Raw genomic sequence first — 19,300 nt, 5'->3', positions numbered from 1 at the left:
TGAAAAGCCTACATGTTATTTGATTCCAATTATATGACATTCTGGACAAGGCAACACTGTGGAGATATTACAGTCCATAGATTGTAACAAGTGTACCACCCTGGTGGGGGATGTTGATAATGAGGGAGGCTGAGCATGTGTTGGGGCAGAAAGTATATGGGTAATCTCTACTTTCCACTCAAGTTTTCTGAGAACCTAAAACTGCCTTAAAAAATAAAGTCAGGCTGGGTACGGTGGGTCATGCTTATAATCTCAACATTTTGGGAGGCCAAGGTGGGTGTATGACTTGAGCTCAGGAGTTTGAAACCAGCCTGGGCAGCATAGTGAAACTTCATCTCTCCAAACAATACAAAAATTAGCCGGGCATGGTGTCACACTCCTGTAGTTCCAGCTACTCTGGAGGCTGAGGTGGGAGGACTGCTTGAGCCCAAGAGTTGGAGGTTGCAGTGAGTTAAGATGGCGCTACTGTACTCCAGCCTGGGTGACAGAGTGAGACTCTGACTCAAAAAATAAGTAAGTAAAGTCAAGAAATTAAAAAAAAAAGAAAGAAGGGAGGGAGGGAGAGAGAAAATTAACTCAGGTGCCTCCCCAGGATATTGAGATATCATTGCCCTGGGGGGCCTTCTCGCCCCCAACAAGGACCCTCTTGCACCCATGTTTGGGAACCACTGGCTTATGTGAACAGACCCCTGTCATTTATTATCTCTGTGACCCTATGATGTTGGGAAAATTCCTTCACTCTGGCCTCAGTTGTATTACCCACAAAACAAGGGTAATCGCTTCTTCATGGAATTCTAGGAGGGATTAAATGAGGATTCAAGGTATGTAAAGTACTCAACATTGTAATTCCTTTTCCTATCCCTAAGGAATAAGGTTTTGGTCTAAGGGCATTTAGGGACTCACCTAAGATTTTTAATGAAGAAAATGATGTGACTTGCTTTATCTAGAAAAATCATTGATTAGAAAAGTAATTTCATCAGCTATATGGAGATCGATGGAGGGAGGATAAGAGAGCCAGCTTGAGGCCCTGGGAAGAGTTCGTTGACAGCTTCTTGCAGTAGTCAAATGAGAGATAGTAAGACCTGAGGTAGTGGAATGGAAAAAGAAGGGACACATACATTTGAGAAAAACTTAAGAGGTAGATGGGACAAGTTTGGTGACTCAGAGTCAGCCTTGATTCTTGTCTCTCCTTCACAGCCCACATCTGCTCTGATAGCAGGTCTTATCTCCCCTACCACGACACAACCAGTTCTGCACTGCTCAGCCCCGGGCTCTCAGACTGTTATGATTAGCATCTAATGTTCTTCTTGCTTTCAACCCTAATCCATTCTCTACAGAGCAGCCAAAATGTTATTTAGAAATGTAAATAAAATCACATCCACTCCCCATCTCAAAATCCTCACATTGAATAAAATCAAATTCTTTAATCTGGCTTTCAGGACTTGGCTCTGATTTCCTCTCCCACCTCATTGCCAATGTTCCCCCACTTCTGTGCTCCAGCCTTTCTGTTTTTCACCAGCTAAGCTCAGGCCCACCCAAGAATGCCTGGAACTACCACTTTTCTATGCTGAGAATTCTTTCCCTGCCCTCCCATCAACCAAGCCCCTCCCTGGCCTCATCCCTTCCCCATGTCCCAAATATAGTGCTCCCCCCATAATTGCCAGCAACAGTGGTTCAACATCAGTGCAAAATAGTTGTCCATTATCTTAAGAAATTGAACACTCATGTCAATATCAGGCTTAATTGTATACCCCAAGAATTATTGCACATGTGCACAAAAAACATATTCAAGAATGTTCTTAGCATTGTTCATGATAAAAAGAACTGGAACAATTCAAATGTTCATCAGTGGAAGTTTGGATAAGTAAATGGTAGCATTGATACAATGGAATACTATACAGCAATAAAAATAAATAAACCGGCAGGGCACAGTGGCTCACACCTGTAATCCCAGCACTTTGGGAGGCCGAGGCGGGAGGATCGCCTGAGGTCAGGAATTCGAAACCAGCCTGGCCAACATGGTGAAACCCTATCTGTACTAAAAATACAAAAATTAGCTGGGCATGGTGACTGTAATCCCAGCTATTCTGGAGGCTGAGGCAGAAGAATTGCTTGAACCCAGGAGACGGAGGTTGCAGTGAGCCGAGATCGCACCACTGCACTCCAGCCTGAAGTGCAAAGCTCCATCTCAGAAAAAAATAAAAAAATAAAAATAAGTGAACCATAGCTACAAGCTTCAACATGGATGAACTGAATCTCAGGAAATAATGTTGAGGAAAAAAGTGAATTAACAAGTTTCAGAATACACATAGTATGATACTATTTTTTATAAAGTTCAAAAATAAGCAAAACAAAAAATGTATTTTCTAAGGGTACATATATGGTCATCAAATCTATAAAGGAAAGCAGAGATAACTTTCTGACAAGTTTAGGAGGTCACCTTAAGGAATGGTACCCCAAGCACCTTAAGTTGGTTACTTTCAACTGTTCCTAAATGCATGATGCAAATGCCACTTGGAATTGCACCAGCCTTCTTCTAATTCTCGATGATCAGAAAGTCCTTCCTAGACTGGGTTTCAATAATGCCCAGCACAGCTTGATACTGGATTAACAAAGTATTATCATCTCCAGGCAACCAATTTGCTGCAACTTGCCAGCATTAGCAGCATTTTAATCTATAAATAGAGATTTAGATCTCAACCGCATGAGAACAAGACTTCACAAACAAAGAACTCTGCTTTGAATCAGATGTTAGAGAACCCCTTCCTGAGGTTCCTCCCCTTCAGAACCATTTTCTTCTTCCCTTGCTGTGTGACTGTCAGAACCAATCTCAAAAAGGATTTTTCTTGGCAATGTTTGCTTTCTGTTAATTTCTCCCACAACTCTTATTAAAATATCCTTCTTTGTTGGGAGATGGGAGATGTGAACAAGCTTGAAAATTCAAAGTGCTAGTGTTAGGCATCTGAGTGCAATTCATTCACTCATCACAGTGTTATTGCCCCCTTATGATGTGTAAGGAGCTGTGTGGGGAACTAAGGAGAACACAAAGACAAACGTGACATTGTCCAATTTTTCAAAGAGTTTTTAACCCAATAGAAGGAACAGACGTGTAAATATTAATAAATTGCAATAGTACAAGGCATAATGTAACCATTCACACAGGGGCTAGGAACTTGGCTCATAGTCATTCTGTGTAAACTTGGGCACGTGACCTAATGTTTCCAGGCTTCCTTTTTTTTTTTTTTTTTCTTTTTTTTTTCTTTTGAGCTGGAGTCTCACTCTGTTGCCCAGACTGGAGTGCAGTAGTACAATCTCGGCTTACTGCAACCTCTGCCTCCTGGGTTCAAGCAATTCTCTTGCCTCAGCCTCCCAAGTAGCTAGGATTACAGACACCCACCACCACACCTGGCTAATTTTTGTATTTTTAGTACAGACAGGGTTTCACCAAGTTGGCCAGGCTGGTCTCAAACTCCTGACCTCAAGTGATCCACCTGCCTCAGCCTCCCAAAGTGCTGGGATTACAGGCGTGAGCCACCACACCCAGCCTGGGCTTCACTTTTGTTATCTAGAAAATGGAATAGGCCAAGTGCCGTGGCTCACGCCTGTAATCCCATCGCTTTGGAAGACCTAGGCAGGTGGACCACGTGAGCCCAAGTTAGAGACTAGCCTGGGCAACATGGTGAAACTCCGTCTCAACAAAAAAATAGAGAGAAAGAGAGAGAGAGAGGAGAGAGGAGACAGGAAGGAAGGGAAAGGAAGGGAAGGGAAGAGAAGAGAAGGGAAGGGAAGGGAAGGGAAGGGAAGGGAAGGGAAGGGAAGGGACTTGTCTCATATCATTAATGAGAGGAATGAATGAAACATGCATATAAGGAATATGCTACAGGACCTTACCACTCAATGATGAACCATTCCTGTCATTACAAAGTACCCTGGAAATACACTGAAGGGGCCAATTCAGAACGTCTTGTGCCTTTGAGGACAAAAGATTTTACAACACTGTAGACTTGAGTTAAGGCAACCATTTGGAGACAGTACAGGGTGGGTTAAGAGAATTCCAAAGTGCTAAAGGGTCCACTGCACCCCACGATCAATCTGTAAAGGCAGTAGAAGGCCAGAGAGGACCAAGAAGGCTGTGGGTAGGAATTCAGCCACGATTCCATAGACAAGGCATTAGCTCCTAGGTCCAGCCAGAGAGCTCAGCAAACAGTCCGCTCTGAGTAAATGCGAGCATTCTCTTTTTCTAACGAAATCCTTTCCCTCTGACCCTGTATCCCTTGTATTTGAAATAAGAGCAATCTCCAGGGCTCTGCCTGTCTCTACCCCACCTGCTCAGGCACATGATGTTAACCAGGTTCTGATTAGTAGACCATTTACCATCTTAGTATTTTATTTTAATAAATATCAATATCCTCCTCTGGTCTGGCATAAATAAATCACTGCCACCTTGTTCTTCCAGCCATATAAATTCTATTTTGCACTTTTTTTTTGAGTGACAGAGGTTAAAAAAATAGAATAAAATTATGCCTTAATTATGCTGTCAAAGTTTTCTCCAACATTTATCAGGCCTACAGGGGTGGACGAGAACCAGCATGAGGCAAGGCTATGTTTTCAAAGATTTAAAGATGCATAAAATTAATCTTTCATAAGAAACAGATGTACTGTAACTAAATAGAACGAAGAGTTTTATGAAAACGACAAACCCTAACTATAACCCACCAGCAATGCTAAGTTGAAAGCTGAGAGTGTCATGAGCAAAAATAAAGATAAATTAGGGCTACTAGGGGAAACTAAAGATCTGACATCGCCTAAAACCAGGCCAGACAGGGCTTGTATTTAGAGCTCATTAGTTTTGCTTAAGCTAATCCAAAGCAGAAGGTGGCCCTAGAAGCACATAGGCCAAGAAGACATGGGTTCAGTTAGTTTACTCTCAGTACAGCAGCTGAGTGCTGATTTTAAAATGTAAATTTGGAGGCCGGGAGCAGTGGCTCATACCTGTAATCCCAGCACTTTGGGAGGCCAAGGCGGGTGGATCACTTGAGGTCAGGGATTTGAGAACGGCCTGGCCAATATGGCAAAACTCCGTCTCTACCAAAACTACGAAAATTAGCCAGGCGTGATAGAGCGTGACTGTAATCCCAGCTACTTGGAAGGCTGAGGCAGGAGAATTTCCTGAACCCAGGAGGCGGAGGTTGCAGTGAGCCGAGATCACAGCCACTGCACTCCAGTCCCGGCAGCAGAGTGGGACTCTGTCTCAAAACAAAAAAAAAAAAGTAAATTTGATCATGCCATGCCCTACAGAGTCCATCTTCATCTGACTTCATCTTCTACTCCCTCTCCCCAGCTCCTCCACCCTGACCAGGCTGCAGTACTTCTGACACAACTTCATGCTCCCACGTTAGGGCGTTTTTAACAGTTCTTGCCAGTACTTTGACCACAGATATCTTCTTGCACAACCTCAGTGAGTTCACCCTATGAATACTGAGAAATATGAGCCCTCCTGCCCCCTGGCATTTCAAAATCCCTTCCTCTACCCAACTTTTTCCTTTTTTTCCACAGCACTTACCACTTTTAGCATAATACAGTGAACCCATTTGTTATATTTGCTGTTTCTTTTCTCTCTTAAAAGTATTTTTTTAGTTTCTTTTTTAAATTTTAATTTTTAAAAAATCTATGAGGGAAGCAGAGCAAGTTGGCAGAATAAAAGGCTCCACCAATTATCCCCTCCCCAAAAAAAAAACTCCTTAAATGGGAAAACATTCCATGCTTATTCATAGGAAGAATCAATATTGTTACAATGGCCATACTGCTCATTGAATTTATAGATTTAGTGCTATTCCTATCAAACGACCAGTGATATTCTTTACAGAACTAGAAAAAACTATTTTAAAATTCATATGGGCTGGGTGCTGTGGGTCACAACTGTAATCCCAGCACTTTCGGAGGCCAAGACAGGTGATAATCTGAGGTCAGGAGTTCAAGACCAGCCTGGCCAACATAGTGAAACCCCGTCTCTACTAAAAATACAAAAATTAGCTGGGAGTGGTGGCCCACTCCTGTAATCCCAGCTACTCGGGAGGCTGAGGCAGGAGAATCGCTTGAACCCAGGAGGCAGAGGTTGCAGTGAGCCAAGATCACGCCGTTGTGCCCCAGCCTGGGTGACAAGAGTAAAACTCCATTTTGGAAAAAAAAAAAAAAATCAAAGGGTACCAAAAAAAGACCTCAAATAACCAAGGCAATTCTAAGCAAAAAGAATAAAGCTGGAGGCATCACGCTACCCAACTTCAAACTATACTACTACAAACTATACATCAGGGCTACAGTAACCAAATAGCATGGTACTTGTACAAAAACAGACAGATAGACCAATGGAACAGAATATAGAGCCCAGAAATGAGACAACACATCTACAACCATCTAATTTTCGACAAAGTCAACAAAAACAAGCACTGGGGAAAGGACTCCCTATTCAGTAAATGGTGCTAGAATAACTGGCTAGCCATGTGCGGACTATTGAAACTGGACCTCTTCCTTACACTACATACAAAAATTAACTCAAGATGAATTAAAGGCTTAAATGTGAAACTAAGAACTATAAAAACCCTGGAAGACAACCTAGACAATACCATTATGGACATAGGAACAGGCAAAAATTACATGATGAAAATGCCCAAAGCAATTGCAACAAAAGCAAAAATTGACAAACGAGATCTAATTAAACTAAAGAGCTTCTCCACAGCAAAATAAACCATCAACAGAGTAAAAAGACAACCCACAGAATGGGAGAAACATTTCGCAAACTATGCATCTGACAAAGGTCTATTATCCAGCATCTATAAGGCACTTAAATTTTACAAGAAGACAAACAACCCCATTAAACAGTGGGCAAAGGACATGAACAGACACTTTTCAAAAGAAACATATATGTGGCCAACATGCATGTGAAAAAAAGCTCAACATCACTGACCATTAGAGAAATGCAAATCAAAACCACGATGGATACCATCTCACACCAGTCAGAGTGGCTATTATTAAAAACACAAAAAGTAACAGGGGTTGGTGAAGTTGTAGAGAAAAAGGAATGCTTATACACTGTTGGTGGGTGTGTAAATTAGTTCAGCCATTGTGGAAAACAGCGTGGCAATTCCTCAAAGATCTAAAAAGAGAACTACCATTTGATGCAGCAATCCCATTTCTGGGTATATACCCAAAGAAATATAATCCTTCTATTATAAAGACACATGCACACATATGTTCATTGCAGCACTGTTAACAACAGCAAAGACATGGACTCAACCTCAATGCTCATGAATAGTAGATTGGATTAAAAAAATACAATATCTATACACCATAGCATACTATGCATCCATAAAAAAGAATGACATCATATCCTTTGCAGGAACATGGATGGAGCTGGAGGCCATTATCCTTAGCAAACTAATGCAGGAACAGAAAACCAAATACTACATGTTCTCACTTATAAGTGGGGACTAAATGATGAGAACATATGGACATAAAGAGGGGAACAACAGACACCGGGGCTTACTGGAGGGTGGAGGGCTGGAGGAAGGAGAGGATCAGGAAAAATAACAAATGGATAATAGGTTTAATACTTGGGTGATGAAATAATCTGTACAACAAACCGCTGTGACACAAGTTTACCTATATAACAAACCTGCACATTACCCCTGAACTTAAAAGTTAAAAAAAAAAGAACCAAAAAATCACATGAGCCCTCAAAGTACCCCCACCCCTCCATTCCACGCTTGACCCCAGCAGTAGCATGGTGCGGAGCGCGTCTCTGGGCACTGAGGGAGGGAGTAAACAGCAGTTGTAAGGCATTGAACTCAGTGCTGTTCTGTTAGAGCAGAAAGGAAAACTAAACCAAACTCAGCTAACACCCACCTATTGGGGGAGCATTCAAACCAGCCCTAGCCAGAGGGGAATCGCCTATTCCAGCTGTCTGAACTTGAGTTCCCACAAACCTCACCACTGAGGGCTACAGTGCTCTGGGACTCTAAAAAACCTTAAAGACAGTCTAGGCCGTAAGGGCTGCAAATCTTAGGCAAAAAAAAAAAAAAAAAAAAAGTAAATGTGATCATGCCATGCCCTACAGAGTCCATCTTCATCTGACTGCATCTTCTTTTTTTTTTTTTTTGAGACAGAGTTTTGCTCTGTCGCCCAGGCTGGAGTGCAGTGGCATGATCTTTGCTCTCTGCAACCTCCGCCCCGCTCCGGGTTCAAGCAATTCTCCTTCCTCAGCCTCTTGAGTAGCTGGGATTATAGGTGCCCAGCACCATGCCCGGCTAATTTTTGTATTTTTAGTAGAGACAGGGTTTCATCATGTTGGCCAGGCTGGTCTCAAACTCCTGACCTCAAGTGATCCACCTGCCTCGGCCTCTCAAAATGCTAGGATAACACATGTGAGCCACCACGCCTGGCATGACTTCATCTTCTACCCCCTCTCCCCAGTTCCTCCACCCTGACCAGCCTGCAGTTCTTCTGACATGACTTCATGTCCTAGGGCTGAACTGGGCCCAGAGACAGTGGACTTGGTGGGGGGGCAGGGGTGTGGCATGTGACATACTGAGACACCAGCTGGGGTGCCCCTCCTCTAACTCCAGGCTGCACAGCCCTCCGCTGCATAAGACACTCCTTCCTTCCTCTTGAGGAGAGAAGGAAGAGTGGGGAGGACTTTGTCTTGCATCTTGGATGCCAACTCAGCCACAGCAGGATAGGGCACTGGGCAGAGTTGTGAGGCCCCCATTCCAGGCCCCAGCTCCCAGATGACATTTCTAGACACACCCTGAGTCAGAAGTGAACCTGCCACCTTGAAGGAAAGGACCCAGTCCGGCCAGCATTCAGCATCTGCTAAATGAAGAGCGCTTGGGACCTGAACAACCAGCAGCGATACCCAGGTACTGTATCAGTGTGGGGGAAAAGAAGAGAGATCAGACTGTTACTGTGTCTATGTAGTAAAAGAAAGACATAAGAAACTCCATTTTGATCATATTAAGAAAAATTGTTCTGCTTTGAGATGCTGTTAACCTGTAACTTTAGCCCCAACCCTGTGCTCATAGAAACATGTGCTGTATTGAATCAAGGTTTAAGGGATTTAGGGCTGTGCAGGATGTGCTTTGTTAACAATATGTTTGCAGGCAGTATGCTTGGTAAAAGTCATCTCCATTCTCCGTCCTTTATTAACCAGGGACACGATGCACTGTGGAAAGCCACAGGGACCTCTGCCCAAGAAAGCCTGGGTATTGTCCAAGGTTTCCCCCCACTGAGACAGCCTGAGATATGGCCTCATGGGAAGAGAAAGACCTTACCATCCCCCAACCCGACACCCATAAAGGGTCTGTGCTGAGGCGGATTAGTAAGAGAGGAAGGCCTCTTTGCGGTTGAGATAAGAGGAAGGCCTCTGTTTCCCGCATGTCCCTGAGAATGGAATGTCTCCGTGTGAAGCCGACCATTCATTCTACTCTGAGATGGAGAAAACCGCCCTATGGCTGGAGGCGAGATATGCTGGCAGTGATACTGCTCTGTTACTCTTTGCTACACTGAGATGTTTGGGTAAAGAGAAACATAAATCTAGCCTACGTGCACATCCGGGCACAGTACCTTCCCTTGAACTTATTTATGATGCAGATTACTTGCTCATATGTTTTCCTGCTGACCTTCTCCCCATCATCACTCTGTTCTCCTGCCACACTCCCCTTGCCGAGATAGTAAAAAATAGAAATCAATAAATACTGAGGGAACTCAGAGACCAGCGCCGGTGCAGGTCCTCGCATGCTGAGTGTGCGGGTCCCCTGGGCCCACTGTTCTTTCTCTATGCTTTGTCTCTGTGTCTTATTTCTTTTCTCAGTCTCTCGTCTCCACCTGACGAGAAACACCCACAGGTGTGGAGGGGCAGGACCCCTTCAATCAAGGGCCTAGGGTGAGCCTCTGAAACTTGCTAGCTTCAGATACCAGCACAGCCACAAATGGGCAAAGCACCAGGCAGGCTTTTGGGGTCACATATTTCAGGACCTGGCTTGTGGATATCTCTGGACCTGCCCTGGGCCAGAGGGGAGCCCATTGCCCTGAAGGGTGAGTCCCAGGCCAGGCAGCATTCACCACCAGCTGACTTAAGAGACTTTGGGCCTTAAGAGAATATTGGCGGTAGTATGGCAGTACTTCCTGTGGAGTACTCCCCGTGGCCTGCGGTGGTGGTGGCTATGAAGTGAGGCTCCTCTGCCTTTGGAAAAGGGAGGGAAGAGTGGGAAGCACTGTGTCTTATGGTTTGAGTGCCAGCTCAGCCACAGTGCAGGTAGACTTCTAAGGTTTTCATTCTACTCCCTGAGGCCCAGACAGCACCTCTGGACCCACCAAAGGCCTGGGGGAGCTTGCTGACCTGAAGGGAAGGACACAGGCCTGACTAGCCTTGTCACCTGTTGACTGTAGAGCCCCAGGGCCTTGACAGAACATAGGCAGTAGCCAGGAAGTGGTTACAGAAGGTCTTGGGTGAGACTCAGGGCTGTGCTGGCTTCAGGGCTGACCCAGCACAGTCACAGTGGTGGTGGCCACAGAGGTGCTTGTGTCGCTCCACCCCCAGCTTTAGGTGGCTCAGAACAGAGAGAGAGATTCTGTTTGTTTGGGAGAAAGTAAGGGAAGAGAACAAGAGTCTCTGCTTGGTAATTCAAAGAATTCTCCTAGATCTTGTCCAAGACCATCAAGGAAGTACCTCTACAAGTCTGCAAGAACCACAGTGTTGCTGAGCTTGGGGTGTCCCCCAAAGCAGATATAGCTTAGATTACAACACTCTAGACCTTTCAAATATCTGGAAACCCTTCCCAAGAAGGACAGGTACTAACAAGCCCAGACAGTGAAGACTACAATAAACACTTAACTCTTCAATGCCCAGACACCAAAGAACATCTACTAGCATCAACACCATCCAGGAAAACAAGACTTCACCAAATGAACTAAATAAGCCAACATGGACCAATCCTGGAGAAACAGAGATATTTGGCCTTTCAGACAGAAAAATCAAAATAGCTGTGTTGAGGAAACTAAAAGAGATTCAAGATAACACAGAAGGGTCAGAACTCTATCAGACAAATTTAACACAGAGATTGAAATAGTTTAAAATAAGCAGAAATTCTGGAGCTGAAAAATGCAACTGGCATATTGAAGAATGCATCAGAATCTTAATAGCAGAATTGATCAAGCAGAAGAAAGAATTAGTGAGCTTGAAGCCAGGCTGTTTGAAAATACAGTCAGTTTACAGCCATACCACCCCGAATGCACCCAATCTTTTTTTTGTTTTTTTGTTTTGAGATGGAGTTTCACTCGTGTTGCCCAGGCTGGAGTGCAATGGCACGATCTTGGCTCACCACAACCTCTGCCTCCTGGGTTCAAGCAATTCTCTCACCTCAGCCTCCCAAGTAGCTGGGATTACAGGCATGTGCCACCACGCCTGGCTAATTTTGTATTTTTAGTAGAGACAGGGTTTCTCCATGTTGGTCAGGCTGGTCTCGAACTCCCAACCTCAGGTGATCCTCCCACCTCAGCCTCCCATAGTACTGGGATTACAGGTGTAAGCCACCACGCCCAGTCTTCGAGCACACCCAATCTTGTCTGAAAATATACAGAGACAGTAAAAGAATAAAAAACTGGATATCCATATGCAGAAGAATGAAACTAGAACCCTATCTCTCCCCATATACAAAAATAAATCAAAATGGATTAGACTTAAATCTATGAAACTACTACAAGAAAAGTTTGGGAAAAATCTCCAGGACATTGTTATGGGCGAAAATTTCTTGAGAAATACCCCACAAGCACAGGCAACCAAAGCAAAAGTGAACAAATGGGGTTATATCAACTTAAAAAAAACTTCTGCACAGCAAAGGAAAAATAGCAACAAAGTGAAGTTTTGCAAACTACTCATTTGACAAAGGATTATAATCAGCATATATAAGGAGCTCAAACAACTCTATAGGAAAAAAAATCTAATAATCCAATTTAAAACTAGGCAAAAAGATTTGAATAGACATTTCTCAAAAGAAGACATTTAAATGGCAAACAGGCATATGAAAAGGTGCTCAACATCACTGATCATCAGAGAAATGCAAACCAAGATTACAGTGAGATAGCATCTCACCCCAGTTATAATGGGATATATCCAAAGACAGGCAATAACAAATGCTGGTGAGAATGAAGAGAAAAGGGAACTCTTGTACACTGTTGGTAGGAATGTAAATTAGTACAGACACTCTGGAGAATAGTTTGGAGGTTCCTCAAAAATCTAAAAATAGAGCAACTATATGATCCAGCAATCCCACTGCTGGGTATATACCCAAAAGAAAGGAAGTCAGTATATTGAAGAGATACCGGCACTCACATGTTTGTTGCAGCACTGTTCACAATAGCTAAGATTTGGAAGCAACCTAAGTGTCCATCAACAGATGAATGGATAAAGAAAATGTGGTTCATATACACAATGGAATACTATTCAGCCTTAAAAAACAATGAGATTCAGTCATTTGCAACAGCATAGATGAAACTGGAGATCATTATGTTAAGTGAAATAAGCTAGGCACAGAAAGACAAACATCGCATGTTATCACTTATTTGTGGAATCTAAAAATTGAAACAATGGAATTCATGGGCATGGAGAGTAGAGCATGGTGACCAGAGGCTGGGGAGGGTAGTGGGGGTCTGCAGGGGAGGTAGGGATGGTTAATGGGTACAAAAAAAACAAAAAGAATTAAAAAGACCTACTATTTGATCACACAACAGATTGACTATAGTTAATAATTACTTAACTGTACCTTTCAAAATAACTTAAAAAAGCGTAATTGGCCAGGCACAGTGCCTCACACCTGTAATCCCAACACTTTGGGAGGTGAAGGCAGGAGGATCACTTGAGGCCAAGAGTTCAAGACCAGGCTGGGCAACATAGCAAGACCTTGTCTTTACAAAACAAAGGTCAGGCGTGGTGACTCATGCCTGTAATCCCAGCATTTGGGAGGCTGAGGTGAGTGGATCACCTGCCAACACGGCGAAACCCCATCTCTACTGAAAAAATACAAAAATTAGCCGGGCATCAAGGGTGCATGCCTATAAGCCACTCGGGAGGCTGAGGCAGGAGAATTGCTTGAACCTGGCAAGCAGAGGTTGAAGTGAGCCGAGATCGTGCCATTGCACTCCAGCTTTGGTAACAGAGCAAGACGCCATCTCAAAAAAAAAAAAAAAAAAAAAAGAGTGTAACTGGATTTTTTGTAACACAAAGGATAAATGCTTGAGGGGATGAATAGCCTATTTTCCATGATGTGATTATTACATATTGCATGCCTGTATCAAAACATCTCATGTACCCCATAAATATATACACCTACTATGCACCCACAAAAATTAAAGATAAATTTTTTTAAATCTATGAAAAAAGATAATTTTAAAAATCAAAGACAAACTTTGGTCAGTATGGAAATCAGGCCAGTCTTGGTGGCTTAAGCCTGTAATCCCATCGCTTTGAGAAACCAAAGCAGGAGGATCATTTGAGCCCAAGGGTTCAAGACCAGCCTGGGCAACATAGTGAGACCCCCATCTCTACAAAAATAAACAAATGTTAATCACATGTGCAATTTATTGGAAACACAGTGGGACATGGGTATCCCAACTTCCCATTCTGACTCAGAATGTCTGGGGTGGGGCACAGCCATCTTTTATCTTTTTCTCTGTTAGCAAAACACTTAGATGATTCTGATAAATGCCCTAATCCCATCTACTAGTGAAACTAATAATAATATGGATGTGACAGGATTCAATTCGTGAATATTGAGTGCCTGGCACAGAGGAAGTGATCATTATTTCTGTATTCCCAGCCCTAGAGCACCTTGCTTGCTGTACCGTTTTGGTTGAAAAATAGTAGCTGAATGAACAATGGGAATAGTCCAGTAAAGAGGAATCTTAGTCATCAGTGTACATAATAAATACTTGAAGGTTATGAAGAATACAGATCCTTGATTCCTTCCCATAGACATTTTCCTGCCTTGACTTATTGATTTCTCCCCTCTTGGTTCCTCTCCTACATCACTGCCTGTGCCTTCTCAGTCTCTTTTAAGCTCCTGTACCTTCGTTCAATCTCCTAATATAAGAACATCCCAGATTAGTCCTAGGGACCCTTGTTCTTCTTTATTTACATACTAGTAGATTTCATCATGTTCCATAGCTTTAAATATCATTTAAGGGTTTATGAACTTGAATGGGAAAAAATATTCTATCTTCACTAATCTCTATCTGAAAGTTAATATTTCTTTCATTCGTAAATAAAGCAATGGTACTGTCATATCTGGAGCTCTGTCACCATTCACGAACATGTTCATATTACATTACAGTTATTCCAGACATCCAAAAATATTTTTATCTTTTTTACTACTTGCAAATATGTTAGTTATTAGATTTATAAATCTGTTATTTAATGTATTAATACAAGAGTTATTATATTACTTTATCACAATTTTTTAATACCTACTTATATTTTAATGCAGTTTTCCTTTGCAATCTTATGTATTTTATTTTATGCACTTAAAAGCATCATTCTGAGAAGAGGGCTGTAGGCTTCACCAGACTGCCAAAGCGGTCCATGGCATTTAAAAAGTTCATCACCTTTGATTTAAATGACAATCAGTCCTAAATTTATTTATTTATTTATTTATTTATTAACTTATTTATTTTAATTTTTTTTTTTTAAACAGAGTCTCACTCTGTCACCCAGGCTATAAGGGCAGTGGCCCGATCTCGGCTCACTGCAATCTCCGCCTCCCAGGTTCAAGCAATTCTCTTGCCTCAGCCTCCCAAGTAGCTGGGACTACAGGCATGCACCACCACACCTGGCTAATTTTTGTATTTTTAGTAGAGACAGGGTTTCACCATGTTGGCCAGGCTGATCTTCAACCCCTTACCTCAGGCAATCTGCCCACCTCAGCTTCCCAAAGTGCTGGGATTACAGGTGTGAGCCACAACGCCTGGCCAAGTCCTAAATTTCTATCTTTAGCTCTGACTTTATTATAGCTCCAGCCTCCTTGGCATCTCCACTTGTGTGTCCAGTAGCATCTCAATATTAACAGATGAAGCCCTGGGGCTCTCCCCCAGACTTGCCCCTTTCCCAGTCTCTGCCTCATTATCAGCCTCCCAATTGTTAAAGTTCGAACTCTAGATCCAAGTTACTGCATTCCACTTTCACTCACCTTCAGAACAGCATCTGAAATTCTCTAGTCAACAAGTTTTAGTAACACAAAAAACACTAATAAGTCGGGTTGTCCTGGGAAAAGTCAATTTGGTTCTTTTAATTAAAATAAGGGACACGAAGTACTGGAACACTAAGATGCATTTCCTCAGCAAACCTCCAAACCCTTTCCCTTAGCTGTTACTAAAAATTAATTTTTATTTATTTATTTATTTATTTATTTTTAGAGACAGACTCTTGCTCTGTCGCCCAGGCTACAGTGCCATGGCGCAATTGCTCACTGTAACCTCAAATTCCTGGCTCAAACGAACCTTCCGCCTCAGCTTTCTGAGTAGCTGAGACTACAGATGTCAGCCATTGTGCCCAGCTTATTATTTTTTTTTTTTCCACAGCTGAAAACTCAGAAGTTCATATTGCCTCTTTTGGGGGGAATCTACCCTAGGGGCGTACAGATCAGGGTGGGATAGGCAGATCCTCTAAGATAGGTTTATCACGCCCAGGCAGTACGCATCCTCACAGGGGACAAAACACTCTCGCGGGAGAGCTGGGCCTGAATCTGTCATCCCGAGAGCCTTTCACCTGACAAATCAGAGAGGAGGCACGAGGGAGCACAGAGATCATCTATGGCTTCAACGGTAGGTACAGAGAACAGCATTTCTTTTTCTGAAAACAGGAAAGACATTTTAAGTTGGAAATCCTGTTTCCTGACTTCTTCGTGTAACTCAATAAGCATGTGATGGCTCATATTCTGAAATAGCCTGTAACCCTATTTGCATGTTTAACCTTTTTTTGAGACGGAGTCTCGCTCTGTCACCAGGCCGGAGTGCAATGGCGCGATCTCGGCTCACTGCAACCTTTGCCTCCCAGGTTCAAGCAATTGTCCTGCCTCAGCCTCCCGAGTAACTGGGATTACAAGCGCCCACAACCACACCCGGCTAATTTTTTTGTATTTTAGTAGAGACGGGGTTTCACCATGTTGGCCAGGATGGTCTCTATCTCCTGACCTTGTGATCTGCCCACCTCGGCCTCCCAAAGTGCTGGGATTACAGGCCTGAGCCACCGCACCCGGCCTGCATGTTTAACCCTAAAAATCGTTCTGGTTTGGGATTAATTGTTGACAATCAGCTCATTTAGCAAGTGTTTCTTGAGGGGAAGAAAACTAGCATTTATGAAGTACCTACTATATTCCAGGCACTGTGTTGGTTTATTATTATTATTATTTATTTATTTTGAGACAAGGTCTTGCTCTGTCACCAAAGCTCACCATCACAGCTCACTGCAGCCCTGACCTCCTAGGCTCAAGCGATCCTTCCACCTCAGCCTCCTGATTAGCAAGACTACAGGTGCGCACCACCATGCCTGGCTAATTTTTTATTTTTAGTAGACACAAGGTCTCACTATGTTGCCCAGACTGGTCTCAAACTCCTGAGTTCAAGCAATCCTCCTGCCTCAGCCTCCCAAAGTGCTGGGATTACAATTATAAGCCACGGCACCCAGCCTGTGTCAGTATTTTAAATGTCTTATCTCATTAAATCCTTGTAATGAAATGTTGGAGCTCTTATTAATCCTGGACGTTTTTCTCTTGTTCACTCTACATATCTAACTTCCTGCCAACTCACATTTTTATCTCCTGCTTGGCTTCTAATTCCAATTATCTTCTCAACACTTTAACGACCCCATGAGAACCTCAAACATCTCCAGGGCTCCCCATGGACATCCAACAGCCAACCTGTATGATTGGTTATCTCAGTAAGTGACAGCCAGGTTATCTTCAGTGGCTCTGTCTCTCTATCTGTCCCTGTCTTCCTTTCCATGTTGCCACAACCCGTGGCCTAGTTATTAAAATCACTGGTCTGGACTCCTGCAAAATCCTCCTAACTGGCATCCCAACTTCCAATCTGGGCCCTTGACCATATCCGTTCTCCCCTATTCAAAACCTCCCAGCGGCTTCCCATGGTTCCTAGAACACAAATGCCTTAAGGGTCACCCCTGGCACTTTAACTTTATTTTCTGCTGGTCTGGCCACAAAGCCTTACAGGTTCAAGGTTCCTTCCCACGTCAGAGTCTCCTCCACACTCACAGAGATTTAACAACATTAGTCTTAAGACTTCTTTTTTTTTTTTTTTTTTTTTGAGACAGAGTTTTGCTCTTGTTGCCCAGGCTGGAGTGCAGTGGTGCCATATTGGCTCATTGCAAACCTCCACTCTCCTGGCTCAAGCAATTCTCCGGCTTCAGCCTCCCAGGTAGCTGGGAATACAGGCACGTGCCACCATGCCCAGCTAATTTTTGTATTTTTTGTAGAAACACGGTTTCACCACATTGCCCAGGCTGGTCTCGAACTCCTGGGCTCAAAGCAACCTGCCAGTCTCAGCCTCCCAAAGTTCTAGGATTACAGCCGTGAGCCACCACCCAATCTAGTCTTAAAACTTTCTTGATATTTAATACTTTATCTTTTCTTAGGCTCCTACCTGTCTTGTAGCTTTCAGTTTAGTCCCAAAGATGTTTAAATTTGGTAATCCTTTTTTAAACTTTGATTTATATTTATGCATGCTTTCTCCCTAATATGCCCACAAATGGGATAGTAGTATAAATACTGTTCTGTACCTTTTATTGCCTCAATATTTTCCAAAATACTTTTGTGTCAGTTCTTACAGATGTGCCTTATTCTGTTCCTTACTCCCTCGTGGTATGAATATACCACAATTCAACAATTTCTCTATAAGCTATTCTAATGTTTTTCTTTTATTAATACTACAATGAACATCTTCGTAGCTGTGTGTTTAGGATTTGTGTATTTCTATAAGACAGATTTCTAGAAGTGAAATCTTAGATCACACAAGTCATGTATTTTTATAAGATCATCAGTTTGTCAGGTACAGTTGCCCTAAACCAAATCCTAGATTTGGGAGAGGTATTAGAGGGCTCATGGCCCAATGTGCTCCATAACAGAAGAGTAAATCTTGGAGCAACAATGCCTAGGTGGCAACCGGAGATCAAAACAGAGCAAGAAGGAGAGGACGGGGCTGGAGATGCTGACTTGGAAACAGAAGGTGCTGTCATTCCAGCACTTTAGGAGGCGGAGGCAGGCGGATCACTTGAAGTCAGGAGTTCGAGACCAGCCTGGCCAACATGGCAAACCTCCATCTCTGCCAAAAATACAAAAAATTAGCCAGGTGTGGTGGTGCTCGCTTGTGGTCCCAGCTACTTGGGAGGCTGAGGTGGGAGGATCACTTGAGCCTGGGCGGCAGAGGTTGCAGTGAGCTGAGATTGCACCACTGCACTCCAACCTGGGTGACAGAGTAAGACCCTGTCTCAAAAATAACAACAACAAAAATAATTCTTAGAAAATGTCTTCTTTCCAGTTCAGTATTTTGCTGAATCATTCGAAAAATTTATTCTTAACAACAAAAGGTTGTTCTCCCTCACAGTGAGGGTGAACTTGTATAGTTTTCTGCATAGTGCTAGGCCCTGAGGAGAAAAATTCAAAAAGTATTTGCTTTCAAGAATTTCATAGACCATCAGAGGAAATTAAGTCTATAGTAAATGCACGTGATAGCAATAGCTTAGACATACCCTTAGAAGGACCCTGTATGGCAGATGCACCTGAGTGTGTTCTGAGCTAGGGAATCTCAGAGTGGCCAACCTGAAGATTCATTCCTTATCTATGAGGAACAGCTGAGCCTTCAGCCCGCACCATGGAACACAGGTCATACAGGGGATTGAGGTCCTGAGTTTCGGGTTACATGAAGGCTGCCAGGTGGGGGTTGTTGGGGGAGGGTGTTAAGTGAAAATGCTGTATAAACTGCATGCTGTTTGCAAGCAGTTGTGGCTATCTTGTCCAGCTACTTCCACTGGACTGTATGTAAGGCTGTGCAGCCCACGGCCACTGGACTCTCTCCCCTGTATGGAAGCCCCTAATAGAACCCCATGCCTCGTTTGCTGGCTCTGAATCTCCCCTGGCCTCTGAACCTGGTGCCTTCCCTACTGAAGCTAATCGGGGTTCAGCAGAACAGAAAGTAGATAATTGCTGTGAAGTGCATTTAGATCTAGGAACAATTCCATCTTGCT

At 43.2% G+C, this 19,300-nt stretch overlaps 1 protein-coding gene across 3 annotated transcripts in view, besides 1 other annotated feature; it reads left to right on the top strand.

The window, feature by feature from the left end:
- Positions 436–936: an enhancer, noted in NCBI's record as "H3K27ac hESC enhancer chr9:86991346-86991846 (GRCh37/hg19 assembly coordinates)". NCBI's record gives its function as "activates a minimal SCP1, AML or CMV promoter by ChIP-STARR-seq in primed H9 embryonic stem cells {active_cell/tissue: H9 hESC(primed)}" and the evidence as "EXISTENCE:reporter gene assay evidence [ECO:0000049][PMID:30033119]".
- The window catches only part of SLC28A3 (solute carrier family 28 member 3), a 93,271-nt gene continuing 82,610 nt past the window's right edge, over positions 8,640–19,300 (top strand). For all 3 annotated transcript variants that reach the window (XM_011518907.3, NM_022127.3, XM_011518906.3), the window contains exon 1: positions 8,640–8,915. The gene's annotated coding sequence lies outside the window, so the exon portion shown is untranslated. The remainder of the gene's footprint in view (positions 8,916–19,300) is intronic.

This window comes from Homo sapiens, chromosome 9 (assembly GCF_000001405.40).
Source record: "Homo sapiens chromosome 9, GRCh38.p14 Primary Assembly".
NCBI lineage: Eukaryota > Metazoa > Chordata > Mammalia > Primates > Hominidae > Homo > Homo sapiens.
This window is presented reverse-complemented; position numbering and strand designations above follow the sequence as displayed.